This window comes from Homo sapiens, chromosome 4 (assembly GCF_000001405.40).
Source record: "Homo sapiens chromosome 4, GRCh38.p14 Primary Assembly".
NCBI lineage: Eukaryota > Metazoa > Chordata > Mammalia > Primates > Hominidae > Homo > Homo sapiens.
The window spans coordinates 52,855,683-52,882,628 of record NC_000004.12 but is presented as its reverse complement, the minus strand read 5'-3'; the positions used below and the strand labels follow the sequence as shown (position 1 = coordinate 52,882,628).

The 26,946-nt window shown below is 46.4% G+C and overlaps 2 protein-coding genes and 1 long non-coding RNA gene across 3 annotated transcripts in view, besides 7 other annotated features; 2 read left to right on the top strand and 1 right to left on the bottom strand.

Moving 5' to 3' along the window:
- The window catches only part of SCFD2 (sec1 family domain containing 2), a 493,080-nt gene extending 483,433 nt beyond the window's left edge, over positions 1-9,647 (top strand). The window contains exon 9 of the mRNA NM_152540.4: positions 8,568-9,647. Within this exon, the coding sequence (NP_689753.2) occupies positions 8,568-8,660 (93 nt within the window). The 3' untranslated portion in view covers positions 8,661-9,647. The remainder of the gene's footprint in view (positions 1-8,567) is intronic.
- Positions 4,688-5,188: an enhancer, noted in NCBI's record as "H3K4me1 hESC enhancer chr4:53743608-53744108 (GRCh37/hg19 assembly coordinates)". NCBI's record gives its function as "activates a minimal SCP1, AML or CMV promoter by ChIP-STARR-seq in primed H9 embryonic stem cells {active_cell/tissue: H9 hESC(primed)}" and the evidence as "EXISTENCE:reporter gene assay evidence [ECO:0000049][PMID:30033119]".
- Positions 7,912-8,871: an enhancer, noted in NCBI's record as "OCT4-NANOG-H3K4me1 hESC enhancer chr4:53739925-53740884 (GRCh37/hg19 assembly coordinates)". NCBI's record gives its function as "activates a minimal SCP1, AML or CMV promoter by ChIP-STARR-seq in naive and primed H9 embryonic stem cells {active_cell/tissue: H9 hESC(naive and primed)}" and the evidence as "EXISTENCE:reporter gene assay evidence [ECO:0000049][PMID:30033119]".
- Positions 9,025-9,526: an enhancer, noted in NCBI's record as "NANOG hESC enhancer chr4:53739270-53739771 (GRCh37/hg19 assembly coordinates)". NCBI's record gives its function as "activates a minimal SCP1, AML or CMV promoter by ChIP-STARR-seq in naive H9 embryonic stem cells {active_cell/tissue: H9 hESC(naive)}" and the evidence as "EXISTENCE:reporter gene assay evidence [ECO:0000049][PMID:30033119]".
- Positions 13,909-14,409: an enhancer, noted in NCBI's record as "H3K4me1 hESC enhancer chr4:53734387-53734887 (GRCh37/hg19 assembly coordinates)". NCBI's record gives its function as "activates a minimal SCP1, AML or CMV promoter by ChIP-STARR-seq in naive and primed H9 embryonic stem cells {active_cell/tissue: H9 hESC(naive and primed)}" and the evidence as "EXISTENCE:reporter gene assay evidence [ECO:0000049][PMID:30033119]".
- Positions 14,410-14,910: an enhancer, noted in NCBI's record as "H3K4me1 hESC enhancer chr4:53733886-53734386 (GRCh37/hg19 assembly coordinates)". NCBI's record gives its function as "activates a minimal SCP1, AML or CMV promoter by ChIP-STARR-seq in naive H9 embryonic stem cells {active_cell/tissue: H9 hESC(naive)}" and the evidence as "EXISTENCE:reporter gene assay evidence [ECO:0000049][PMID:30033119]".
- Positions 15,794-20,312, bottom strand: RASL11B (RAS like family 11 member B). Its single transcript, NM_023940.3, has 4 exons — positions 19,980-20,312; positions 19,305-19,361; positions 18,075-18,151; positions 15,794-17,294 (listed from the first exon to the last, which is right to left on the bottom strand). The coding sequence occupies exons 1-4, from the start codon at positions 20,119-20,121 to the stop codon at positions 16,824-16,826; spliced, it is 747 nt and encodes a 248-aa protein (NP_076429.1). The 5' UTR covers positions 20,122-20,312; the 3' UTR covers positions 15,794-16,823.
- Positions 19,993-20,287: a silencer, noted in NCBI's record as "tiled region #13979; HepG2 Repressive non-DNase unmatched - State 4:PromP, and K562 Repressive non-DNase unmatched - State 4:PromP". NCBI's record gives its function as "represses a minimal TATA promoter and a strong SV40 promoter by Sharpr-MPRA in HepG2 cells, with weaker repression in K562 cells {active_cell/tissue: HepG2 | K562}" and the evidence as "EXISTENCE:reporter gene assay evidence [ECO:0000049][PMID:27701403]".
- Positions 20,259-20,748: a silencer, noted in NCBI's record as "silent region_15428". NCBI's record gives its function as "represses an Ori minimal core promoter by ATAC-STARR-seq in GM12878 lymphoblastoid cells {active_cell/tissue: GM12878}" and the evidence as "EXISTENCE:reporter gene assay evidence [ECO:0000049][PMID:35858748]".
- On the top strand, positions 20,424-21,480 carry LOC124900700 (uncharacterized). The gene is made up of 2 exons (XR_007058115.1): positions 20,424-20,545; positions 20,898-21,480. It is a non-coding gene; the product is annotated as an uncharacterized LOC124900700 (long non-coding RNA).
- Positions 21,481-26,946: the final 5,466 nt, after the last annotated feature.

Below are 26,946 nucleotides of genomic sequence, written 5' to 3'. Positions count from 1 at the left end.
TAAGCCAGTCTAGTCTTTCCACGTTCTTCTGCCTGCGTTTATTCTGGCTGTCCTGGCAGCTGATTAGATTATGCCCACCCAGATTGAGGGTGGGTCTGCCTTTCCCAGTCCACTGACTCAAATGTTAATCTCCTTTGGCAACACCTTCACAGACATACCCAGGAACAATACTTTGCATCCTTCAATCTAATCAAGTTGACACTCAATTAACCGTCATGGAGGGCTTCATTCTTGGTTCTAATATCTCCTCTAGATGAAGCCCAAATCTGCCTCTTTGGCATTGTCACTCACCAGTGCTGGTTCTAGCTCTTGTGCCACATAGAATTTAAAAGAAAATGAGATTCATCCCTCTTCCCCACGACAATTCTGCAGACATATGAAGATAGCTCCCATGTCCTCCCCCAGGTCTTCTCTTCTCCAAACTGAATATCATCAGTTCCTGTAGCCACCCCACTCTTACCCTGTGAAATGGACCTGAATCCCCTGACGATGTTGCAGCTCTCCTCAACCCCAGTTTTTCTCCCTGTCTCGCACTTGATTGGAACCAAAAGCCAAACCTTGGTGTGGACTGATCAGCTCAGAGAAAATTAGGGTCACCTCCTCCTCCTCTCTACCATGGCCTACAAAGCTCACATGATCTCACCCCTGCCTACGTCTGGGGCTTCTTTTCCTACCACTCTTCTCCTTGCATATGCCCCTCCAGCCTCAGGACTTTGCATTTCTCAACTATTGTATTCTCAGCACCACAAACAGAGTCTGCCACTTAGTGGATATTCATGAATGTTAATTGAATGTCCAATACTGAACATTAGAGACTCTACGTGTACCATTCCAACATAACAGAAAAGCAGCTTTTCTGGAAAAGACCACAAAAACCACACCAACCTATTGACTGACACATTATAGACAATTAAAACCACTTTGTCTTTTGTATCTATTGCTATTATTCCAAATCTTCCCTGTTCTACTGCTGTGTGGGTGCTCTTTGGAACCACGTACAGGAACTTGCAATCATTCCTATTAAGCTGGATTAACTAATGATTCAGCAGGCATTTATTGACTATCTAAAAAGCAAAAACATGATCTGCTCTGTGCCAGGCATTGTCTTTTATGCTAAGGACAGAACAGTGACCAAGCTAGAGACATTCCTACTTTTATGGAACTTCCATTCTACTGGGTAGTAACTGACAATAAACATGGAAGCACCACCTCATGACAAGTGGACAACAGACATAGATGGGTGCTAGTGTAGAAAAACCAGGAGGAAGAGCTTCCTTTAGATAGCACAGACTCCCATGGAGAAGGCTTTGGAGCTGAGATTTAAAAAGCATTCGGGGATCAGCTGTTCAAAGGAAATGAATAGAATCCATTCACAGCACCTCCAGAAATGAACTGTCTTTCACAAAAAGTGGCAAGAATAGCATGAAACATAGGAAACCAGAAACCACATGCCCACCTGCTAGCCTCTGAAGACTGCTCTGCTCTAAAAGGGACATGTTTTCTCCACTCTCCTGCCTGTGGCTGTTGGGAGATGTGCTGATGAGAGAAAATGGGTGCATTGGAGAAGGTCCTTTTTCCTATCTACAGAAAAGGGATCAAGAGGGCAACCTCCCCCATCCCAAACTGCCACAAACACCAAGTGGGAGATTCCAGGTTTCTCCTGCTCTGATCCGCATGTGCCCAACACCAGCCTCTCTCCTCACTCACTTGATGCCTACTGTGGGACTCCATGGCCAGACAGCTCTGCCTGGCTGAACTTTGCAGCTGGATGGTAGCCGAGAGGCTAGCAGAAGCCTGTGATTGTAAGAAGAAAATAACAGGGAGGGAATCTCTGAGGAAATACAGGGAACGGCCAGCTCAGGAAAAAGGGGAAGGCCAGTGGGAAAGTTGACCCCCATCCACTGCTTTCGTAGCAAGGCACGTGCTTGCCGCACCCACACTTTCCTGTAGTTCTACATTTACAGAGTTCAATACTTTTTTTTCTTTTTTTCTTTTTCTTTTTTTTTTTTTTTGAGACAGGGTCTCACTCTGTCACCCAGGCCGGAGGGCAGTGGCATGATCTCAGCTCATAGCAACCTCCACCTCCCACGTTCAAGTGATTCTCCTTCCTCAGCCTCCCGAGTAGCTAGGATTACAGGCGCCCACCACCACTCCTGGTTAATTTTTTGTATTTTTAGTAGAGACGGGGTTTTACAGTGTTGGCCAGGCTGGTCTTGAACTCCTACCTCAAGTGATCCACCCGCCTTGCCCTCCCAAAGTGCTGGGATTACAGGAGTGAGCCACCATGCCCAACCCAGAGTTGAATATTTAGTGAAGACACAATAATTAAAAAAAAAAAAAATAGTTTTGCACACAACTTAAGAGGTTCAAGGATCCCTCATCCTGGCTCCAAAACCTGCCTCCAGGTTATTCTAAAATTGATGGGAAGCCCCAGGGAGACAACAGCGAAAAGATCTGAATCACACTTCAGATCTTCTGAGAGCCTTATAAGCACAGCACAGTGGCTCTGAGGCAGCGGTAGTCAGGTCAGATGTTTCCAGGTTTTTCAGTAAGGCTAATCCACTGTGCCACTGGCTTAATGATACAAACCTTCTGGGTTTAACACAGGTGTGTGTGTATGTGTGCGTGTGCCTATACAGCATGAATACAATATATGCTCCAAAAGCTGCCTATCGAATGAATATGCATGTTGGTGCCTGTGCATATGTGGGTCACTTTGGGGAAGAATCTCCCAAATGTAAAAGAAAAGGAGAGAGAAAAATGTACCCCTTGCTCCTTTTGATACTGAGTGTTAGAAATCAGGGGGATATGGAATGTAAATCCTGGACTTCCCTGCTTCCTCTGTGTTCAGCAGAAATAGAACAGGAAGATGCTGGCACCTACAAATTACAGCCATGGTCTGGAGCAACGGAAAGCCCAGAGGGCTGGGTCACTCCTAAGGGCTGGGCTGCCCATGTGGAGTTCAGGGCAGGCCTGAGAACAAAGACCGAACATCCCCCTTCCAGCTGGAGTAGATATCAAGTGTGGGCTGAAGGCTGCTGGAGGGACTTGGTTCCCTGGCTGATGTCCTCCACCCCATCTCACAGTCAGTCGATATATTTTTTTGATGTCAAGTTATCTGCTTTGACACAGAGGCTTGCTGTTGGTGAATGAGCTGCATCTTCAAACATTCCTTGATAGAACTGCCTGCAGTTGGCAACACATGTGACACCTAAGTCATAACTGCCCTGCAGTTGCAGTGTCGTTCAGGCTCTTCAAAAACAATTTTTTGTTTTCATTAAAAACCCCATTTCTCATATTTAAGTGTGAAATTTATTTTTAATCAGCAAAGATTCTCTCCCCACTGGCTGTTTTTGTGGAAGGTATTCTGGTGGGTAGATGGTGCAGGGCAGGTATGGTGGCTGGGCCAAGCTCTGAGCACTGCGGGGTGCTCTTGAGTGTCCTGGATGCCTCTGGCTTGAGAAGGAGGCTGACCACTGCCACCAGCCCTCTTGGCTATTAGCAGGTGAAAGTGGGGTGGCTAGGAGTTGATGGGTCGGAGTAAAGTCAGCTGACTCTTTAGCCCTGAATGACACTCAGGCCTGTGTTGAGAAGGAAGAACAAAAACAACCCCCAAAAAGGAACAGGAGGAAAGAGAGGGAGGGGAAGGAGACGGAGGAGAAGAAGAGATGGCAGGGACCCTGAAAAGGGGAAAGGGAGAGGAAGCAGGGAAGACCAGGTTTAGGTTCTATGTACCTCTGATTTCTAATACTGAGAATCAAAAGAAGCATTTTAGAAAATGCAGAGAAAAGTAGACGTATGATGGGCAAGCATTGAGCATCACCCATGGGAATTTTCTTCAGTGCCCTTGGTTGCCTGAGAAAAGACCAGTTCTCTGAAAGGAATTCTCTAGTGCTTAATTTGTCCACTATCACATGTTTGATGATTATGTTTTTTAAAAATTAAATGTCATATCTGATCAGCCAATTTCAAACTCTTCTATTTTCTTTTTCATTTTTGAGCATCTTTGTTCCTGTTTAGGGCCCACTTTTTAGAATTTTAGGGTGATCTTAGCCAAATAATGTAGAAATGTTCTAGTAAAATGTGCTTTAAAAATTCTGAAAATTCAAAAAAGTAGCCAATACCAAAAGATGCCTAAGATGCAAACATACTTAAAGAGCACCAACTATTATATTTCATGCTCTATGTGAAATGTCAGCAGTATGATCCTGCTTGCTCTTCAAAATAGGAATTAGAGACAAGTAGGTTTTTCATCGAATGGAGAGGAAACACATTTACCTGGAGCTGTCTGAGCATCTTCTACTAGAGCTGCCCTGAGTGAAAACTTCCCAGTGACCGTGGCTACACTCCCTGCCTCCTTCACTGCTGTATGGTTTTTGTTCACTCAATCAGGCACTAACTGACTCAATCAAAGACCTGCTATGTGTCAGGCACTGTGCTAAGAAACAATGAAAAGACTCAGTTAAGTTGACAGGGAATACCGTGAGATACCAACAGCCAGGGGGACACACTCAGGCTTGCGGGAGGGGTGGTCTGGGAAGGCTTTCTGTGGGGAGTGATGCCTGAGCTGATTGTTGAAGGGCAATGGAGGAGGGGTCTTTGGGCAGAGTGGGGAGCTCCTCTCCCAGACAAAGAAGCATCCCCAAAGTGCCAGGTGTGAAATTGCGAGGAGTTAGGGAGGCTGGAATGTGGGACTGATTTGGGGGTGTGGAGGCAAGGGCCGGATGTGGAGTGCTGGCAGCATTCAGGTTCTGAAGTCCTGTGATGCTCTCCGGGAGGGCTGGGCTTACCAGAGGGCAGTGATGAAGCTGCAGGGATTTTAAGCCTGTGAGTAATGCGATCAGATTCACACTTGGGGTCACTGGCTCTGGCAACTCCACCTTCCCTGCATCCGCCCCATAACTACTGTGAGCTGGGTGGAAGGATGCAGCCGGGGATGCACATAATGAGGACAGTGACGGTGACAAAGGCAGTCATGGCAGCTGCCATTCTAAGCCCCTCTAGAGCCTGTCATTGTGTCAGATATTTTACGAAGATGTTCACATTGATCCTCACATAATCATGTGGGGTGGGTATCATTCCCACTTTACAGATGAAGAAATTGAGGCTCAGTGTGGTTAAGCAACTTCTCCAGGGTCATTCATCTAGCAAGTGGCCCAGCCAGGGTCCAGCGCAGACTGGACCCTCCTAAACCTGTGCTCTTAACCACTGTACTATCCCAAAGCCTCCTGTCCTCAGTCCTGCAGTCTCCCCTCCACAAAGGCCCCCTAACCTACTGCTTGAGAAGCCCCTGTTTTCCATCTGTTTCTTTTCACCCCTCCACAGAGCAGGCCCCAGACAGCCTCTGGCTGAGCCCTCATGAAGCTGTAGGCTGATTACTGTTAAACACCTGCTTGTTCAGATGTGAGGGCTGGCCTTACTGTTCCAGCTCAGTGGCGGTAGCCAAATCCATGGTCTCTGTCAACCATGGCTGGAAGCCCAGCACACTACCCGAGAGTGACAGATTCTTTGGGCTCAGTTATTGCTGCTCTGGAAGTCAACACTTTTAGCCTTTTCACTCCAAGTTCCTCAAACCTGCTGAGAAGACTTAGCACCCATGGGGATGGAGACGTACCCTAGCCCTCAGGCCCACCCTCACCCCAGCCAGAGAGGAATCCACCGTCTTTGCTTTAGAATTAAAGACCCCAAGGGCTAGCAGTGTGCTGGAGACCACCAAGTCACAGCAGGAGGAGAGGGCCCTTTGCATGAACGACTGCTGGCCTCTACCACCTCCGAAGAACCTACTTCCAAGGAGCCCAGTGTTTGTCTTTAGGTGTACATTTAAAAAGATTTCTGAAGAAGGGCTTCTTTTTTTTTTTTTTTTTTTTTTTTTCGAGACAGAGACAGAGTTTCGCTCTGTTACCCAGGCTGGAGAGCAGTGGCACAATCTTGGCTCACTGCAACTTCCACCTCCAGGGTTCAAGCTATTCTCCTGCCTCAGCCTCCCAAGTAGCTGGGACTGCAGGCATGCACCGCCACGCGCACCTAATTTTTGTATTTTTAGTAGAGATGGGGTTTCACCATGTTGCCCAGGCTCATCTTGAACTCCTGACCTCAGGTGATCCACCCAAATCGGCCTCCCAAAGTGCTGGGATTACAGGAGTGAGCCACCGCACCCAGTTCGAAAAAGGGCTTCTTAATTGTGGTCTGTGAATTCCTAGGAGTTCATGAACCATCCCTAAAACTATAACACAAAATCTTGTATGAATGTCTGTGTATTTTTCTAGAAAGTTCTTAGCTTTCATAAGATTCAAAAGGAGATCTAGGACCAAATCACAAAACCACAATAATACAGCAGCTCACAGTTGCTGAGCACTTCCTGTGCTCCACATACACGATCTTATGTAATCCTTGCCATACTGCCTCAAGCTTGGCACTGTTATTTTCCTTCTGAGAGAGATGAGGTGAGCAAGGCTGTAAGTTGTGACTTTCTGGAGGCATCTGGCCAGTCAGTGTGGAGCTGGGATCTCCTCAGGGTCTGCTGATGGCACTCGCCTGGAAGCCGCCAGGCTCAATTACCTACTAGGTTTGGTGAGGAAGACCTGAAAGACGTAGAGACCCTCTCGGGAGACACACATTCAAACGGTGTCTAAATCATGCATGCAGATGATAGAGAAGGCCAATCTTCACCCACTGTCCTCAAAGGCTCCTTGCATGATTTTCAAGGAAAATCGTGAAACACAGATTTCAGTGAATTTGTTTCTGCCAAAAATATGACTTGGCTGACATTAACTATATATATATATATATATATATATATATATATATATATATATATATATATATAGTTAAAGATAATCCTCTTTCAAGAAGTAACATAGATGCTTCCAAAGACTAAGTTTTTTAAACAGAAAACTTTCTCATAAGGTTGTTGAAAAATTCTTTCTTTAACAACAAGAAATACTTCCTTCTCTCTTCCTCTTCTACTTTTTCTCTTCATTGGAGTATAGACTTTTTGTTTTCCATCAATGAGCTCGTGGACTTGGGGTTGGTTAATTCACTAATTTAATTATACCTGGGACAATTTTGGGAGTGGGCAAGGAGGATAGTAAAGTGTGTGGGCCCACTTGCACCACTCCAAAGGAGCGTAGCCATGTAGTCATGCTGTGGGCCTTGGAATCCCCTTCCAAGGGATGTGGGCTGTGGAATTCAGGCTCTAGGACAGCTTTTCCCATAGTCACCTCTTCTTCTAGGGTGCATACAATACTGCTTGTGCAAAACCTAACCAGGCCCTTGCAAAGCACATCACGCCCCCAGCCCAGACCCAGGGAATAGGCTCTCCCACCTTTGCAGAGATAAATCTGTCCTGGAATAAAATCCAGACTGAGGGAAGCAGAAAGGGTCACCATGAAAGAAGCCAGAGGAGCCCAAAGGTGCATGTGGAGTAAGGGAGTAAAGGGCCCAGAGCCCTTGATGACAGGGAAGGGAGGCACGGGGGCACTGGGGCCAGCCTGTCTGCGCTGGGATCCTGACTCAGCCGCTGACTGTATGTGTGTCCTTGTACAAGTTGCTGAGCCTTTCTGTACTTTATTTTCTTCATCTACAAAGCAGGAAAAATAAACGTATCTATTTCATAAGCTCAATATCAGGATCAAATGGATATTCAATGAGATAATCCTCAGAACCTGGCACATCATAGAAATTAACAAGTATTAGTTATCACTATCATTCCCATCATCGTTATGAGTTGAAATGTGTCCCCTTTAAAATGTCTTGCAGTCCTAACCTCCCCACTGGTATCTGTGAATATGACCTTACTGGAAATAGGATCTTTGCAGATGATCAAGTTAAAATAGGGTCTTTAGTGTGGGCTCTAATCCAGTGTGACTGTATGTATATAAGAAGGGGAAATTTGGACACAGCAACAGACATGCATAGGGAGAGACAATGTGAAGGCACAAGGTAGCTAGGAGAAAGGCATGGAACAGATTCCCTCGCAGCCCTTAGAAGGTGCCAACCCTGCCAACACCTTGATCTTGGACTTCTAGGCTCCAGAACTATGAGACAGTAAGTTTCCATTGTTTAAGCCACCCAGTTTGTGGTACTAGGAAACTAACAATCACCATCATCACTAACAACATCCACCTCCTGGATGTGCCTTCTCATGCTCCCTGGAGGAGCAAAGGCTCCCTGAAATGGGGAGAAACCTTGATATTGACGTCAAATTACTGCATTACAAAGCAAGAATATGATCCAGTTCAATTTAGCAGCAAGGTAGTGGCTGGGCTCTGCCTGTCAAATGTACCTAGTGCCAGTCTCAGCCATCCTGAGTGCCCCATTGGCTAAAGGTTCAGTAGACACAGCCCGGCTGTCCCACAGGCCATCTGTCCCAGACTGTGCCCCCCTCCTTCCAGGCAGGGCACTAGCGCCAGGTGCCATTCAGCTGGCTGCCTTCTACTTTTCCTTCCTAGAACTTCACTTCATGCCCTCCCCCAAAGACATTTGTTGCATTCTATTTCTCATCATCCAATACCCTGAGATTGGCCCCCCTAATTCCCTGCGGTGTGTTTGCCCTCTCCTGTTGTTAGGTAATCGTGCTGTCCACACGACTCCTGAAGCCACTTAACATTCCTGAGCTGTTATTTGCAACTGACCGACTGCATCCAGACCTTGGCTTCTGAGCATCCGCTAAGAAGATAAGACCTACTCAAGCTGGAAATGCCGATGCAATTTTCTGCCACCACTCCAAATACTCCTCCACAACCAGCGTCCCTGTCACTAATTGCGAGAATGATGGAATTCTGCCTGAAGGGTCTTGATACCTACTCAGTGAGGTACTTTGCTTGGATTGCTGTGATTCTTAAAAAAAAAAAAAAAAAGTTTTTTTATTTTCCTGAAGGCGACAGTCTGTCTTTTGGCGAGTCCAATTAGTGATCGTTTCCATTTATCCTTAACCCTCTGTTTGTGATCTTCCTGATTCCACCTACAAGTTCATTAGTTCTAAATAAAAGCCTGTTGGCAAGTGTTGGTAGATTACAACTCTTTTTATTTGAAGTTGCTCGAGAAGTTAGACATGCTTTAGAATTATGAGTGTGGGGAAAATTTGATGTTCCTTAGGATTATATAACTGAGGAGGGAACATTGCAAATAGGGTCTGAGGCTTTGTTTCTCTCTTGCTCTGAAACATTTCTGAAAAGGCAAGGAAGGGAGGGGTAGTGTCTGGGGCAGTGCTGGTAGCCTGCATGTGTTGTAAATCATCCTGCCATAACAAAGGACTGCATTGTTCTAGCTGGCCCACTGGGCAGGTCTGCCAGGCTACTTGGAACTGTAGTGGGAAGGTGGTTGATTGGAGGGTTATCTGTATATAAAAGGTTTTCTCCCCTCCAAAGAAAGACTCCAGTACAAGATACCTGGTCCCAGGGAGTCTAAATTGTAACAGCAACCCCTGTGGACTTTGTGGGTATGAGTTTTGATTGAAATATAAAGCTTTCTTTTCTGTAAGTTTAAGTTTTCCATCTGACCATAGCAGAAAAACCTAGACCCACCTAGTGAAACTTTGTAAGAACTCCAGGGCAAAAACGAACCACTTGCAACCCACATGTTTGTAGGTGTATGGTCGATGGAAGTTTCTGGCATCCATGTTGGTAATAAAGAGATAAAACTGAAAAGGTTTTTATTGTGGATTACACAGGTGGAGGAAATAACATGTAAACCAAAACACTCACATGTCTCTGATTTTAGTTCTCTATAAAACACTGTCATTTTTGAAAGAACCATGAAGTTGGAGATTATTTTAAGATGTAATCAAAGCAGGATTTTTGTGGACACAGACACTCTTTTCTTGCCCAGGTATGTTTTCCACATAATATCAGTTCTTTCATGAAATAGAGGAGACCGCAGGTGCCTTTTTCATTCTACTAATCTTAAAGTGTTGAATTTGAATAAGGAAGTTAATGGTAGCCATCCGTAAGAAATGTTAAAGAGGAGACGACTTTTCTAAAATAAAAAATTGGAAAGTAACCTGTTACGTGACTCAAATCTGTACTCCTTCATTCATTCCTAAAGATTGATGACTGAGCACCTGCCATGTTCCAGGCACTGTGCTAGGTTCTGGGCCACTGTGATGAAAGAACAAGATGCGTCCCTGACTCTCTGGCACTCAGAATGAGTAGCTGGCGCTTCTCTGATGGTCTGGCCCGACGTGAGCATCTACTGAAGGTGAAGTTGTAAACCGCATGTCTATATGCAAAGGAAACTTTCTGGAAATACATATATAATGGTACTTCTGGGAAGGAATATCGAATGGGAGAGCTAAGAGAAGGGAGAGTCTCACCCTCAGTATACTTTTGTATTATTTTATTTTTTTTTACAGCAAATGTGTATTTGTGTATTACTTTTGTGACTTTAATCGGCCATAGCAGAAAACTGTATTTTTACAAATTAATTTTTTATTTTAAGAAATATTAAACTTTGGAAGGCTGAGGCAGGTGGATCACCTGAAGTCGGGAGTTCTAGACCAGCCTGACCAACGTGGAAAAACCCTGTCTCTACTAAAAAAATTACAAACTTAGTCGAGTGTGGTGGTGCATGCCCGTAATCCCAGGTAGGGAGGCTGAAGCAAGAGAATCACTTGAACCTGGGAGGCAGAGGCTGCAGTGGGCCGAGATCGCACCACTGCACTCTGGCCTGGGCAACAAGAGTGAAACTCCATTTCAAAAAAAAAAAAAAAAAATTCAGAAGCCTCTAATCTGAAATGATGAAAGGAGGAAGGTATTGATTGTAAATGTTATTCAGCAGTTCTTTTGTCTTGAAAATGCTCCCCATACTGTAATTAGTATGGTCAGGGGCAGTCTGTGAATGGTGGGAGAAGTGTCAGAAGTTTGGCTTATGGTCATCTTTTTCTTCTCTGGAGGCTGGCTTGAGGAGCTGAGCCAGGCCGGTGGTCAGGTGGTGGAAGGCTTTGGAGGAAAGGTGAGCTGGAAGAATTTCTTCGTAACCAGAGTTTGGGTGAAGATGAAGCAGGAGGCACAGGACGTTCACTGCTCCTTGATTAACAAGCAGGAACACAATAGACATTTGGTATAAATCCTGCAAAGGGCCTCCAACAAATAAGGAAAAAGAGGGGGGCTTGGGGGAAGGAGGACTGTGGCCATGGCAGAGCCTCCCGGAAACTCCCTGCTGCTGCCAGGCTCGTGGGCACACTTCTCAGCATGGGAGAGGCTGGAGGAGAAGCAAGTCATGCCCTCCACCCCCGGAAGGAGCAGCAGGCAGAAAAGGGCTCTGAAGGCTTCTCTGGGCCTAAGTCCCAGTTCTGCCACTCCAAGCACTGTGGATCTCTCCAAGCCTCAGTGTCTGCATCTGTAAGAAACGATAACTATGGCACCTGCCTCATGGGGGGGTTGCTGTGGAGCCATCCCTAACACAGTGGCCAGCATGTGAATCTCAAGGAATGTGGGTTTTCACACTGAGGACGCCAAGGAAGTTACCTCTCAAAACTATAAAACGTCAACAGGAGAATAATACTAAATGAAGAGGAAATTTGGAGGCATTCATGGGGTCTACAAGGAGATGAGAAAATGGAGGAGGAATAACAACTCGGTCCAACATAGGTCCAAGACAGCATAGCCCAGAGGTCAAGAGCCCAATCCGATGGCTGGATTCCAATCCCACCTCTTCCACTTCGTAGTCCACCTCTCCTGGTCTTCGCTGACCATGCAGTTGTGTAACAATAGGACCTGCCACATTAGGTTGGGGGAGAATTAAAAGAGTTAATATGTGTGATGCATTTGGAACATGGCACATGGTGGGCTCATACAGAGCACATAAGAATTTATTGGTAATAAATGTCTGATGATTGCTCATGCAGGGCCATATGTCTGTGATAGAACTTTCTCTATCACTAATGCTAGCCACGAAGTCAGGCAGAATCTGAGATGGACTTACTGATTTCCCATTTCAACCCCTCCAAATGTATCCATTCGAAAGGGATCCAGCAGCTGTCAACCACCTGATGGTGACTTAAAAGGCTGAGCTGAGTGATAAGACTGGTTTCCCCTGTCTGGGGCCTGGGTCTGAGTGTTTATCACCTAAACAAGCACTTACAAATCCAAACCTTCTGCCAGCGACCTCACTGGCCACACTCCTTATAAACATAATTGATAGAAGTGTAAATACTTTGTAGCAGTTGACTCCTGCCTTTGTAAACCCTCTTCTGGAGTCTACCTCAGGGCAGACATAGCGGGCATGGGCACGGCCAAGTGGTTGGAAGCACTCCAGGCTACATCAGCCAAGAGTTGTCCCTAGCAGGCCGGGCCCTATGCAGATGGCTCTGTTTATGCCACCCCTCCATTACAATGGGATCCCAATAACAAAGAATTCCATCAAACTACCCCCAAGACCACTATTATTTATTTTACCCTGGTTACCAGAAACAGAATCTCAACAACACAGAATCCAGTATTACAAATGTCTGCTGTCCAGCCCAAGAAACATCAAGAGACTCCATCTCTGTCTTAAAAGGAATTTAAAAAGACAAAACCAGACGATGGAGGGTTTGCAAACTATTTGAGAGGGAAAGCTTGGAGGGTGGTGGCTGGGATCTTGCCACAGTCAGTAATAACCCTAATCCCATTCTCATTGCAAATTCAGGAGAGTAGTGAGGATAGTAAGAACTTTCTGGAACCATCTCTCTTTAGACTTGAAAGGGAATCTGTGCAACACCAGTTTTCCTGGTTATTATAACCAGACAAGCTCTCTAATTCATCCTGGGCCACTCCCCAAGGGACCTGTCATGAGTTATCCACAGAGACAGCTGGACAGTGCCCATTTCCCCTGGGTGCAGAGGTAGCACCAGAGATTATCAGGGGCTCATTTTTGAGGGATGTGCCTACAAACTTGTTCATTTGCCCAGAAAACACATTTGTTTTCTCCCTCTTGGAGTGTAAGATGAATGTCAAAATCTCATTTTCCACCAAAGCGAGGGGCTCACCATAAATACACCCATGGCTCCTAAACCTGGGGTTAGGAGCTGGCTGGGCAGGCAAACCCGGATCTGCGGCGCCTGGTGAGTGCTGGAGCCGGGAACAGCCAGGAAGACTTTGAGGGTTGAGCCCTCTCTGCACACCACGCAGCGCCAGGCAGGCTGCAGAGTGTTGCGAATGTTTTTGATTTGAGGCAAGGGAGGAAACTCAAAAGCCAGACATCGTGACAGAAGTGGATTTGGTTCTGAGACAGCCGGACTGCACGCCCCTCCCCCTCCCAGCCTGGACGTCTTTATGACTGAGCAGGGCTGGAGGCCAGTGAGCAGCTGGCTGATGGCAACAGCAGATGTGGTTGGCAGCCAGGGGGGCCTGGAGCCCGGCAGAATCCAGGAGCCCACAGTAGCAAAGGGGAGATGAGAACAGCAGGACAGGAGACCTGGCCAGGGGAGGGAAGAGGAGGGCTCCGAGGTGGGGCTCTGCTGAGCCATCAGCCCAGGGCTTAGGCAGTGGCATCAGACGGACCTGGGATGGAGTTCTGGATCCGCCCCTTAGGGCCTGGGCCAGCCAATTCTTCTCAGCCTCCCTTTTGCTTTTCTGAAGAGGAGACTAAAGATGGATTGTAGAGCTATCACAGCAAACATCAGTTATTTCAAAAACCCTCCTATGGGGTCTGGCACACAGATTTTCCATAAATAGAAATAATAATTGTTATAACCGATGTGGCCCTAAGCAGGTAAATTTCATCTCTCTGTGCCTCAGTTTCTTTATCTTTAAAATAGAAGCAATATTACTACCCTTCCTTACAGGATTCTTCAAAAGATGAACGGGGATAACGTAGAATCTGGCGTGTTTTAAATGTTCAGTAAATTCGAACTCCTTCCCTTTCTCTGCTCCCCGGTACCCCAGATGCATACACATCCCTGCCTTCCCTTTCCAAGGTGGCAAAGGAGGTTTTCCCCTTCCTAGGTGGAGAGAGTCGTTTCTCAGGGCCAGGTGGTGGTAGATCATAAATTTTAAAACAAAACAAAACAAAAACATTAATTGAAGAGTTAACCAACAAGGAAAGAGATGAGCAAAAGTAATACCACATAAAGCTAGATTTATTAGAAGAGAGAAAAATGTGTTCCAGAACTATAAATAGACAAGTCCGCCTGAGAGAGTGGACAGAATGGGGACTTGGGTGGTTTCCAGCTGCGACTCTGTCTCTGTCCCTCTGTGTGTGTCTCTCTCTGTCTCTCTCTCCCCACTCTCTCTCTCCTAGAGTGGCCTTGCACAAGCCACTTTATCCCTCTGGGTGCGCCAGAGCTCTGAGCTCCCTTCCAGCCTGTCTAAGGTGCAGTAGGAGGCACTGAGTCCAGTACAGGGGTGAGGAAGTAAGGGGCAATCGCTAGCTGCGGGGCCAGGAAGGGAGAAGGTGGAGCTCACAGCTCAGCAAGGGAGCAGACAAGGGCTGCCAGAGCCCTGCAGCCTGGAAGCTGGTGGGAAGAAAAGGGGGCGGTGGCGCGGCAGTGGTCACTGAAGTGCAGCACTGCTCAGTGCCTCGGGAGCATAAAGCCACCTGCAGGAAAACTCTTATTTAATTCCAGAATGTGGGGAAGGGCTCTTCAGTAAATATATAAAGATCAACCTCTCACTCACTGGACATTGTTAACACAACCACATTGGCTGAATAGAAATAAAAGTGAATAGAATCCAGTTGGAGATACTTGTCACTACCCTTGAACTGAGATGTTTTCAGTCCCATGTTAGCGCCGTTTCCCTGCCCACCCCCAACACACACACCCTTCTCAGAGATGAGGTTAGGCTGAAAGCATAGAAAGTTACCTTGCATATTAGGAAGGTTTGAGGCATCACTGGAAACGCTGTCAGCTGTGAGGATCTGTACCCTGTGGGAACACTGATTGGAAATCCTGGCACCACCCCACAGTAGCCCCTCAACTGCTATTCACTGTGGCTCCATCGCCCCACGCATGCCAGAGTGTCTTAGCTATGACATGCTCTAAAAGACTAAGAACAGTAAATATAGTCAGGTGGCATTGGTTCAGCTCCTTTGTGTGAATTTGAAGACATCACTCAAAACTTAGAGCCTGTCTTCCTCATCTGTAAAATGGTGTCAATACCCCACAGTATTCTCCTGGGTTCTCCTGGGCCTTAAATGAGATCAGGTATGTGAAAGCACTACTCAAAGAAATGTCAGCTGTGATTATTTCCCCCTGTAGATGGTGGCTCACTTAGCTTGCAGGAAAGAGCTTCTAGGCCCAAGTGGCATAGATGAGAGAGCTGGCAGCTTTAGCGAGACACGTGTGGCAAAGGTCCATGGGACTGGCTCCTGATTTCACAGCCCCAGATCAATGACTGCAAGCTTCTACAGTGAGAATAAAGTGAATCTCCTGAAAGCAGCATACCCAAAGAAGAGGTCTGCCAACAAAGCATGTGTAAAGAAGCAGTCATCTCAGTGTCCAAGAAAGAATACGCTCGAGGCTGTGCTGACTATGTGGAGCCAGACATCTGTCTTAGGTATACCTGGAAGACCACAAAGTTAGTGAATAGAAGATCAGCTACTCTTGAATATAAAGCAGCAAATTGCAGTTTACAATGCTACAGGCTGTGGCCTTTGACAAGTTACTGATCTTGTTCTATAAGCCTGTTTCCTCATCTGTATTATGGGGATAATACTAGAATGCACCTCCTTGGATTGCTGTGATCCTTGAGAGATAACCCCTGAAAGGCACAATGCCAGATTCAATGTGCCCAATAATCACAGGATACTAGGTCATACTTTGTCTAAACGGCAGAAAGTTAACGTTTCAATAGAGACGAAGTTAGACATCTGCTCTTTTTCAAATGCGATTTATTGTACATAAAATAAATTAATTACAGTTTAAGCCAAAGCATGAGTGGCTTTTTAAAGTGCATCTGTGGAGGGGATGTGGCAGGTAGCCCCTGTTCACTTGCTGTAAGATAAGTGTTTTAGTATTTCAGCCACCCTTAGGCACAACTCAGCCAGGCCTAGGAAGCAACCCAACGTCATTGCCATGAACCATTTACACAAGTCACACCAAAATCAACTGACACATTTTTTTCCTGATGGAACAGTTAAAAAAACAAAAAACTATACAGTCAAAGTCTGGGGTTGAAGAGCGTGAAGTTCACAGCTCCTCCACACACGCCCAACTGAGCATGCTCATCCTGTGAGGGGGAACCAGAGCCTTCCTGTAAACCATGAGAGCTTACCAATGTCTGGTATACAAAATATTCTGGCCCATAAACTCAACCTGTTTTTGAGGGGTAGGGGATTTTCCATCTTGTACATAAAGAAAGAAATCTGGGTATCCTTCAGGTTAGAAAGGCATTCTGTAAGAATAGTGTTCCAGAGTTACAAATCATACTGGTAAGAGAAAAGCAATTCTTCCTCTTGGGGAAAAAGAGGAAAAGAAAGAAGAAAAGAGAAAAAAGAAAAAAGGGGGAAAAAAGAAAGCCTATCAATGCTTAATCTGTTCTTTCATTCCCACTGTAAATCACATCAATACATTTGGTGAAACTGCAACGGACCACCATTTACAAGGTAGTTGAATGCAGAAACCGAAACGATTATGCCCCCTCCCCACTCTAAAGGAAAAGACACAGAGTACATTTCACATATTCAGAGAGTGGCTCAGTGGGCTCTTTCAAGCCTCATCAATCCTGTCCCCCTGCTCAGAACAACACTTCCTTTTCTGTAGCAGTTCCACAGGCCCTCTTGGCCCTTCTGCTCCAGCCCTTTCTGGAACCAGGAATCATTGCCAATATTCAACGTTCCTGCACTAGGAGAACCTCAGGCCCTCTTCCTGGGAAGACCAAACCCCCTTGAGTGCTCCTCCTGCTTCAGACGGAGGTGACAGTCCTCACTTTGGCAGAGAGGGCTTGCTTAAACCTCCTCTTCAGGTCCTGCATGTTGGGTGACTTGGGCCTGGGAATGAGGGAGGTTCTTCGCTTCTCGGGTGTACTGCTAGGCTGCTGTTTGTGACTGACCTCTTTACAGAGGACGTGGAAGGCGCTGTAGACATCATTATAATTTTCACTGACAGACACTTCATAGAATGAGCAGCCTAGCATGCTGGCTAGCTGCAGTCCAAGCTGAGGGTCAACCTGTTTGATGTGCAACAGGTCAGCTTTGTTGGCCACGACCACCACAGGCAGCCGGGTGCCCAGGTGTAGCTGCTGCACGTGCTGGTGGAGCTGGCTGATGAGTTCATAGCTCTTGTAGTCAGTGATGGAGAAAACGATCACCACAGCATCTGCCCAGCGAATGCACCTATTCAGCTGTTCACTGCAGCTCAGGCTGTTCTCATGGACCTGAAAGAGAGGAGTGATGGCAAGGTGAATGCTGGCCAGTTGTACAAAGAGCCTGGGCTTGGGTAGATTTCAAATTCAAAAGAGCCCTTCATAGTAGTGCCAGGTTGAGGGCCATAAACAACTTATATCCCACACACTTCAGCTTTCTTGACAATATGTTGATCCAGCTGCACAGAGTGGGAATAAATAACAGTGCAGCTTACCACACTCAAGTGGAAAATTGACCTGCAGAGAACTCCATGCAGAGCGACTTTGTAGTTGCACAAAATGGGAAATTAACTGGCTAGACAGTAAGTCTGGGGAAGTAAAGATAGGAGCTGGAAGCATTTAAACCTGGATAACTGCCCAGTTCAGGAGGCGGGGGGAAAAACCCTAGCATGGCGCTTTTGTCTATAGAGCAACTTTCCAGTACAAAAGCGATTCCAAGTATTTGCAGACTATACCCAGAAGCTTGGTTTTTCATGCCAAAGACACACATATTAAAACTGGACTTTTAAACCACAGCAAGGAAAACACCAATTCCAACTGCATTCGGTTTGGGCTTTCCGGCTGTGTTGAATCCTTCTAAAGGAAGATTTCTGCCCCCTAGCCAAATCTCCCAAACTAAACCATGCTAAGATCGACCAACAGCCAGATACAATTGAATTGTCAGACATGTAAAAGTCTAGATGTGACTCCCCAAATTTCTCTGATCCTGCAGCATGAGGAACTTTGAGAAGAAGTGAGTGATTCCACAGCCAAGTAGGTTCCCCTTTCACCCAGAGTCTCAGAGCTTCTCACCTGAATACCTGGAGTGTCTTGAACCTGAAGAGCCAGGGTTTCACCTTCTATCTGAACTTGTCTAGTATAGAGATTACCTATGAAGGCAAATAAAAGAGATTATGTTCTTCCTTCTTGTACAACTTTTAAAACATTGTGAGTTTTAAGCTAGAAAAAAAATGCACAATGCATAAATGCACACAAAACAGCGATAGTTTATTTCTATTTGGTGGGCTTACTTCAGATTTTTTTTAAAAAACAACAGCAATTTTAACCCTATGTTAGATTTATTAAAACCAGGGCAAAGTTTGCAAGTTTTTGAAAACTTATTTATCTAGTTTTAAACAAAGTTTCCATTTTTAGAGTACTCCCTTGATGCAAATTATCTTGCTCAGCCTATGTGAGGTTTCTGTTTTCTTGAGTACTTGATTCATTCTTTGACTGTAACTTTGTATTTTGGCCGTTAGATATAATGGCTTGCTAGACAAATACTGTTAGTAAACACACAGCCAATGTTATCAGTTGGAATAAAAATGTGATATAATTATAATCAACTCTACATCAAATCAGAAGGCTGCCATGTCTTATCTTGGGATAGCTTATACAGCTCATTTCAAATAATCCCCTATAGGTACTCATATGGTCTACAGAGTTAAGCAATTTGCTAACAGAGCATAGGCAGAAAGCTCTTAAGCCTCCCCAGTGGCTATTCTTAATCATAAGGATTGAAAAATGTGTCCTCTCATTTATTCGGGAATTCTCCTCCTAAAATTCTACCATCCAGTTGTTTGTCTTTGTTAAGAAGGAGGAACTTTAGGTTTACAACTGCTCTCCTTTGGCCTTTGCTTTAAAAGGTCACCTCTGAAAGGCAGCCAGCAGAGAAGGAGAGGGGTGGGGGAAGGAGCTAGGGACTCCTTTTTTTTTTTTTTACGACTTTTGCAGGAGTGTTTTGAAGGGAGAGGTTCTTGACTACAAAGGGTGCTTCCAACTGGGGTCACTATAGTTAAAACATACCAAGGGGAATACTTTCAGGCACTTGATAAAATGATGAATGGGCTTGGAATGGAATGAGGCCAGATGGTAGTTATGGGAGGGGGGCGCCATGGAGGGCTGGGGACTGGGGAAAGTTTTAAGTGGCGGGATCCTCAGGCTCGGACTGTCACTGAAAGAACCTCCCTGGGAAGCGCTGGAAAATGGGAACCGCAGTCCTCCTGCAATGGGACAGAATTTTTCTCAAATGCATTGTCTCACCTGCATTTCTTTCATAGTCACCGATGAATCGTTTGGTGAGGAACCGGACCACCAGTGCTGCACGTCAGAAAAAAGAACGTCAAAGTGTTAACCTTGGAAGTTAGATTGTTCTCCACCCCACCCCCTGCCTGGAAAACAGTTCTCCCAAAGAAAGCCATAGATGGCCACCAAGTGAAATTCCTACCCTGTAGCTCCTTGACCCTTCTTTCCAGACAAAAAGGAGGGGGCTAGAAGGCATCGTGAATTATGGCTCTGTGCAGCTGGAAGGCTCACTGGGCCCACCCCCTCCTCTGAGCCCGGCTGAGCCACACCTAAGCCTTCCAGTAGACCCATGTCTTCCTAACCTTCAAGACCTCCCAGGGGGGCTAGCTTCACTAACTCCCCTTTCTGTGCCAGGCATTGCCAGAGGCTCAAACACCCCAAAGTTCTGATGGCGGCGGTGCCGGTGGTCCCCAGAAAGCTGCCTGGCCATTCTTGATCCTTGTTTCCCCCGTCTGTGGAAGCAGGCGGGTGGCGTAGACAACGGCTAAGCCCACTCCCAAGGGGCAGCGGCTCCCTGCGCGGGGACGGAGAGCGGTCGGGCTGCAGCTCCCACCGCTCCCCACGCCTTGTTCAGCCTCAACTCCCGTCAGGGGTCGTCCAAGACCAGACCCAGGGCTAAGCGCGACGACTCACCGGTCTTGCCCACGCCGCTGGCGCCCACCACGGCGATCTTGACCAGGCGGCGGCCGGCGGCGCCCACACAGCAGTCGGAGGCCGCGGCGTTGCCCGGCGCGGGGTACTCGGCGATGGTGCACATGTTCTGAATGAGGCGCATCGCCTCGGCTGCGGCGCACCGCGCGGGAAGGGACTGAGGGACTGGAGAATGCTAGCGCTGCGCGGGAGCGGGCGGGAGGACCCGACTGCGGGGCTCCGCGGTAAGAAATAACAACAATAAATAAGTGCAGGTACGGGCGGGGTGGGGCCGAGCGCCGAGGTTCCGCAGGGCTCAGGCTCCAGACCCAGACTGCACTCGCGCGGCGCGCCGGCTGTTTTCTCCGCGGCCGGCCCCGCCCCCTCTCCCCACAGCCAATCCCGGGGCGCCCTACACGAGGCCCCGCCCCCGGCGCCGCTCCGCGCGCGCGACGCCCCCGGAGGCGCCTGGAGTCAGTGCGGAGCCCCGTGAGGCGCGGGGAGAAGAGGCAGCGGGCGGAGGGGAGCAGCGGGTGGTCCGAGGCGGCGCAGCCCAGGGTGGGCGCCTGGTAGGTCCTGCCGCGCGAGCATGGGGCAGCTGCTGTGGCTGCGGGGCCAGGAAGAGAGCGCAGCCTCCACAGAGCCATTCCGGACCGCTGCCTCCGCCGGCTCCACAGCCCACGCGCGCACTCGCTGCAGCCCCAACCTAGGGCGTCTGCTCTGGGCGGGCCGGGAGCGGTGTTTGCTCCCCGGCTTAGTGCCGCCCGCCCTGATTTGGAGCGATTGCACTGGCTTGGGTACATCCCAGCTCATAGATTCAGCTACAGTTGGCAATCATCCGCAAAGACTCCAGCCTAAGACCTTTAGACCCCCGTAAAATGTGACATTTGAAGCAAAAATATCATCCACGTTTTATCCTAGACCCACGTTCTCTGGCTCTTGTCGACGGCGCAAGCTAACGCAAACACACATGGTCGGACGCATGCACAGCACGCCTAGAAGCGGATCAAGAAGTAATTATAGAACAAGCTTTCCAGCGCCTCACTCAGTCACACCTCCTTCAAGAGCTGTGAAATGGAAAGAAAACAGTTACTCCAGCTGCGACGTCTGAAGGGGCCCCGCACTTCGTCCCTGGTCATAAGACACCGCAAGAGTTTAGTTAAGTGGCTTGATACCAAGGAAGAGGTGGGCCCTGCACTCCTAAAATCCCAAGCTCCGGCCCCTTACAGTCTCATCTGAGAAACACATCTTCAACGGCAGGCCAAATTCCTCCTGCGAGCAACATTCTGTAGCTGCAGCTGATGGCAAGATGTCACCAGCGGCTGATGGCAAAATGTCACCAGAGTCGCGGGTTAACCACCCCATCCGCTATCCAAGGCCCTCTCCCCGCTACCCTTTCAACCTTGTCCCAGAGGCTTTTATGTTGGGGTATGGCAACAAACTCTGTGGCTTTGTGTACCCACCCACATTAAAGGCTAAAATGTGAAATAAACCAGTGCCCTTATCCGCACATGTCAGTCATCTAATTTGACCCCCTCTTCCAGCCAGAACTTAATTGACCAGGTATTTGACAGAATTTTATGATCCTCAGCCAGTTCAGACTCTGAGATGAACCTCTTGTCTACAGAGGTTTAGGTGTTTGCAGGAATGCAAGGAGAAATAGAAAGGTAATCTCAAGGTAGCAAGTTTTCTAGGATGGGCCACGTAATTAGAAAGACACACAACCTTACAATAAACATAATAAAAGGCTGACTTCTAGGGAGATCACTAGAACGAAACAGCCATTTGAGTCAGAAAGAAAAAGCATTTCCAATATGCACCATGTCTTTCTGCATGGTTTAAATCAGACTTGAATGTCACTTCTATAAAATCAAACTTTGCAAGACTGTAATTACAGGTAACCATGTACTTTTAAAATCTTTCCCCTCCAAAAAGCCTGCTATTCTATCATGCTTACATGGTAAAATAATGATGTAGGCTAAAGTACTAGTTTAACATACACACACACACACACACACACACACACACACAGAGACATGACAAAAGCTGTCAAGGGGAATTTTGCTTTGAATCATTTAGTTTCTTGGGCTTGATTTTCATTACCATAAGCCCATACAAAACCCGTGATTTTTCTGTCTGCAACGCAAAGGCTTGATTTGGTGTTCTTATTTTAGATCTAAATGATCTGGCTATGCTTTAAAGAACACAGAAAAGAGAGAAGCAAGAGAAAGATGTAAAAAAGAAAAGAGAGCTATTCAAATTCCAAATACCTAGCATATAGCCCATCTCCACTCCACCTACCTCTCCTTCTGGGACATTCATAGAGTTAAAAAGAGGAAGGAGGCAAGGCAGGAGAAGTGACGATACATAATGAGCGCTTGTTTCATTCTAGGTTGTACACAGGGGTTTTGCATTTAAAAATCTCATTTTACCTTCATAACAGTCCTATGAGGTAGGTATTACCATTACTTCTAGTTGCCGTTATCTATTGCTGCTTAGTAAACCACCCCAAACTTTAGTGGCTCGCAGTTCTGTGTGTTGACTAGGCTTAGCTGGGGAGTGCTTACCTAGGGTCTCTCATGTTGTTGCAGTCAGATGGCAGCTGGGGCTGCTATCATCTGAAGGCTCAACTAGGCTGGACATCCAAGATGGTATCTTCGTTCATATGTCTGTGTGTCAGCTGGAATGGGCAGAACAGCTGGGACTAGCTCAGGCTCTCTCACAACATGGTGACGGGCTTCCCTTTGAGTGAGCATTCTAAGAAACCAAGTAGAAGCTGCTAGTCTCTTAAGACCTACACTTGGAAATTGGCACCGCATCACTTCTGCTCTGTTCTATTGGTCAAGTGTCACAGAGCCCACCCAGATTAAAGATCAAGGGGCAGGAACATCGATCCTATCTTTAAGTGGGAATGGTGTCAAAGAATGTGTGGCCATCTGTAATTCACTACGCTTCCATTTTACAAGTGAGAAAGCAAAGTCTCGGGTTAAAAAACTCTTCCAAAGTTACATATCCTGCAAGGGACAGAGCCTTTTCTTTTTTTTTTTTTTTTTTTTTTTTTTTGTCAAGCTAAAAGAGATGAGGATGGGGAATTGAAACATGAGGAGGGGTTTGGGAAGAAAAGAAAGAAGTATTTTGCCAAGGTTCAATTTTACCTCAGCATCTGGAGTTTCTAGCACTTCCTTTGATCTTAAGAGGTTTAGCCCAGACAATTCAGTCCCTGGAAGCCCTTAGAATGCCAGAATATGAATTCAATAAATATTTATTGGATGTCTGGGCTATGTGTATACCAGACATTATGCTAGGTATTGAGTCTACAGTGGCAAATAAGAAATGCAACCTTTGCCATCCCTGCAGCTACATTTAGCATGAGAGACTGAAGTGAATGAGCAATTTCAATACAGTGTGAGAAAACACTTTGATAGGGAAAATTCAGGAATTACAGAAGCACAAACTAGGACTAAAAACCTGGGTTGTGGCAGTCAAGGAGGGGGTGGTGAAGGAGTTGAGAAGTTTGTGTGTTGTGTACAGTGTGCATGTATGTGTGTGCATGTACATGGGAGTATGGAGCAGGGAGTTAGGAGGGGGCAAGATGGGTTAGTTCGCAAGAGAATAGCACTTGCCAATAGGTGCTCAGTAAATAGTTGTGGATTATAAATGAAAGCATAAGTGAATATAGCAAAGGCCTCACATTGAGAAAATGAATTAAAGGAACGGAGGATAGTTCCTGATGGGTGAACAGAGAGAAAAGCCCTGGTGATTTCTGTGGAGGAGCCCTCATATTGATAAGAAAAGCTCCAGAAGTTGCCTTGGTGCTCCCTTCTTCCATGGGAACATGCCCGCATGGAAGCCAAATGAGCTGCTCCTCTGCCCACATCACCAGGAGTTGCTCCCAAATCAGCCCTCTCTGAACATCCAGGCCTTGAGCAAGAACCAGACTTTATTTTTTCTTGAGACTTTTGTCAACTCTGCTTGTTTAGATCCAGTAAACAGACACTCTTTAGTGGTTTTAAGCAGAAGACGATTTAATACAGGAAATTACCTGCTTTCAATGTCTTTGGAAGGGCTGGAGTAGCAGGCTCTAGGCTGGACCTGCAGAAATGGCTCCCAGAGCAGCACTGCAGAACTGGCCCACGCAGGAAGCTGCTGCCTCTTCCATAATCAGGGGAACACAGTGGCTGCCTCTGTTATTCTCTCTCAAAACTCACAAAGCTAGAGACCAGACATTGGAAAGTTGCTGCACAGAAGCCCAATATCTCAATTGTGCATGGCAGCAGAAAGCAATCAAGCAGCAGAAAGAATCTTTCCTCCTTGCTTCTGCCTTTCAAATCTCTGAGCACATCTAATTAATGAAATTCATTTTATCTATTACTCTAGCTGCAAGGGAGTCTAGGAAATGTCATGTTTACCTTTCTAGTCCTGGCAGTACATGAAGACACACTGGAAACAGATAGACAGGAACTCAGTGTGAATTCACCATTTCTTCCACTCTTCTCTAGCAGCCCAAACAACACAAAGGCCCAGAAAAGGACAGATCATGTCCCAGTAGACATTTAACTTTCAGTTATAAAAGGGTATAATGAGGTTCTTTTTGAATTGATTGCTTTGAGACCATATTCAAGACCACTGTTGTCGTTGCTTTTATGTAGTATGTATTGACACCTATGTTAGGCTGTTCTTACATTACTCTAAAGAAATACCTGAGACTGGGTAATTTATAAAGAAAAAGGTGAAAAAAGAAAAGAAAAGAAAAGAAAAAGGTTTACTTGGCTCATGGTTCCACAGGCTTTACAGGAAACAGTGCTGGCATCTGCTTGGCTTCCAGGGAGATCTCAGGAAGCTTACAATCATGGCAGAAGGTGAGTGGGGAGCAGGCACATCACATGGCAAAAGCAGGAGCCACAGAGAGAGAGAAAGCAGGGGGGGAGGTGCCAGCCAAAGCAAGAGATCACTTATCACCAAGGCAATGGCCCAAACCATTCATAATGGATCTGCCCTATTGATCCAAACACCTCCCACAATACTCCCACCTTCAATACTGGGGAATACGATTCAACATGAGATTTGAGTGAGATATCCAAGCCATATCAACACCTATCTCCACTCTTTTGGACTGTTTTCCTGTAGTCTGGCTACAAAGAACGTCTGTTGACCTCCCTTGCTCAGAATCATTTTCCATTCTTTTAATAAGAGCACTCCCAATTTTCCTTTAGAAACCTCCCCTGCCCCACTTTCATATTGCCCAGGTGGTGGTGGTATGATGATCCCAATCCCTAATTCTGCGGAAGAAGGGGCGTCCACCACAGGGACTCCTTCACGGCTGGGCCAATTAAATCCATCCCTGAGAGTTTTGCTAGGAAAGAGCTGCTTCATTCGCGCTGGTGTCAACTGGCTGGTAGAAAGTGAGCCTGGAGCTCCATCTTGGCTACCTCGTGGAAAGTCAGCTGAGGATGAAGCCAACCCGGAAGAAAAGACAATTGAGAGGCAGAGACAGCCAGGACCCTGATAGCACCTTTTCCCACCCTACATTCAACCATGCCTGAAAATGCAGACTTACCCCAAGTTACAGGAGTCAATACAGTCCCTGTTTAGATTCAGCTGGTTTGTGCTGCATCTCTGTCATTGGACTGCACAAGCCCTCCCACATCCTGTTTGCACAGAGTCATGGGCTCCACACAAGCCATGCTGAGGTTGACTCCCTAGCATCAGCAATGTTCCTCATTCAGAACTCTGAAACTCAGCCATTCATTCTCAGTAGAAGTCACAGATATCAGGCTGTTACATCCTTTTTATTTCATCTCTGTGGATACCCTAGCAGTGCTATCCTGCAATCTCTAGAAATTAACATAAGGATATTAGTACATCCAGACAATGGAATATTATTTAGCACTAAAAAGAAATGAGCTATCAAGCTATGAAAAGACAGGAAAGAACTTTAAGTGTGTATCACTAAGTGAGAAAAGCCAATGTGAGAAGGCTACATACTGTCTAATTCCAAGTATATGACATTCTGGAAAAGGTAAGACTGTGGTAAAAGGATCAGTGGTTGCCGGGAAATCTGGGGAGGGAGGGGTGAACAGGCAGGGCACAGAGGATTTTTAGGGCAGTGAAAATACTCTGTATGATACAACAATGGTGAATACTTGTCATACATTTATCCAACCCCATAGAATGTATAGCAAGAGTGAACTCTCACGTAGAGTCATGTAGAGTGGTCTTTGAGTGATGGTGACATGTAAATGTAGATCCATGGACTGTAACAAATGCACCATTCTGGTGTGGGATGTTGATAATGGAGAGATTGGTGGGGAGAGGGCTAATCTTTGCACCTTTTGCTCAGTTTTGCTGTGAACTTTAAACTGCTCTAAAAAATAAAATGCTTATTTTTTAAAAAATGAGATTACTGGGCATCTAATCCAACTCCTCCTCTGAGATTGTCCAACCTAGTCTAGGATGCTTCCTGTGACGGGAACTTCCTACCATCCACAGCAGCACATTTCTACCAAGCTGATCTCTTCTCTCCTATAACATCCTTCCAGAAAAACAGACTGGCATGCTCACCAGCTTTCCAAATACCTGGTTCATTGCTCCTTCGCCTTCCACTGCAGCTTAGAAAGGACTGGGAAGGAAGAAGAGGAAAGGTGGATGCCTGTGACATAGGATTGTAAAGAAATAGCAAACCCAGGAGGAGAGGCTTCTGCATCTGTGTTGGGGATGACAGTTTTTAATATTCAGTTTTAAAAATTAAAGAGAACTGTGGCTCAGAAACATCCTCTGAATTAAAGAGGAGAGGAAATTCATTTTGAGCTGCTTATTTTCTAAGAGATCTCTGAGTATGGAAATAGGAACAGGACAGATATAACTTAGCATAACAGAGAGTTTGTATCTAGTGACTCTATGTGATGTGTTAGATATCTTGCAGTCCGTGCATCCCCACAACAGAAGGCTGTGCTGATACCCAATATATGCT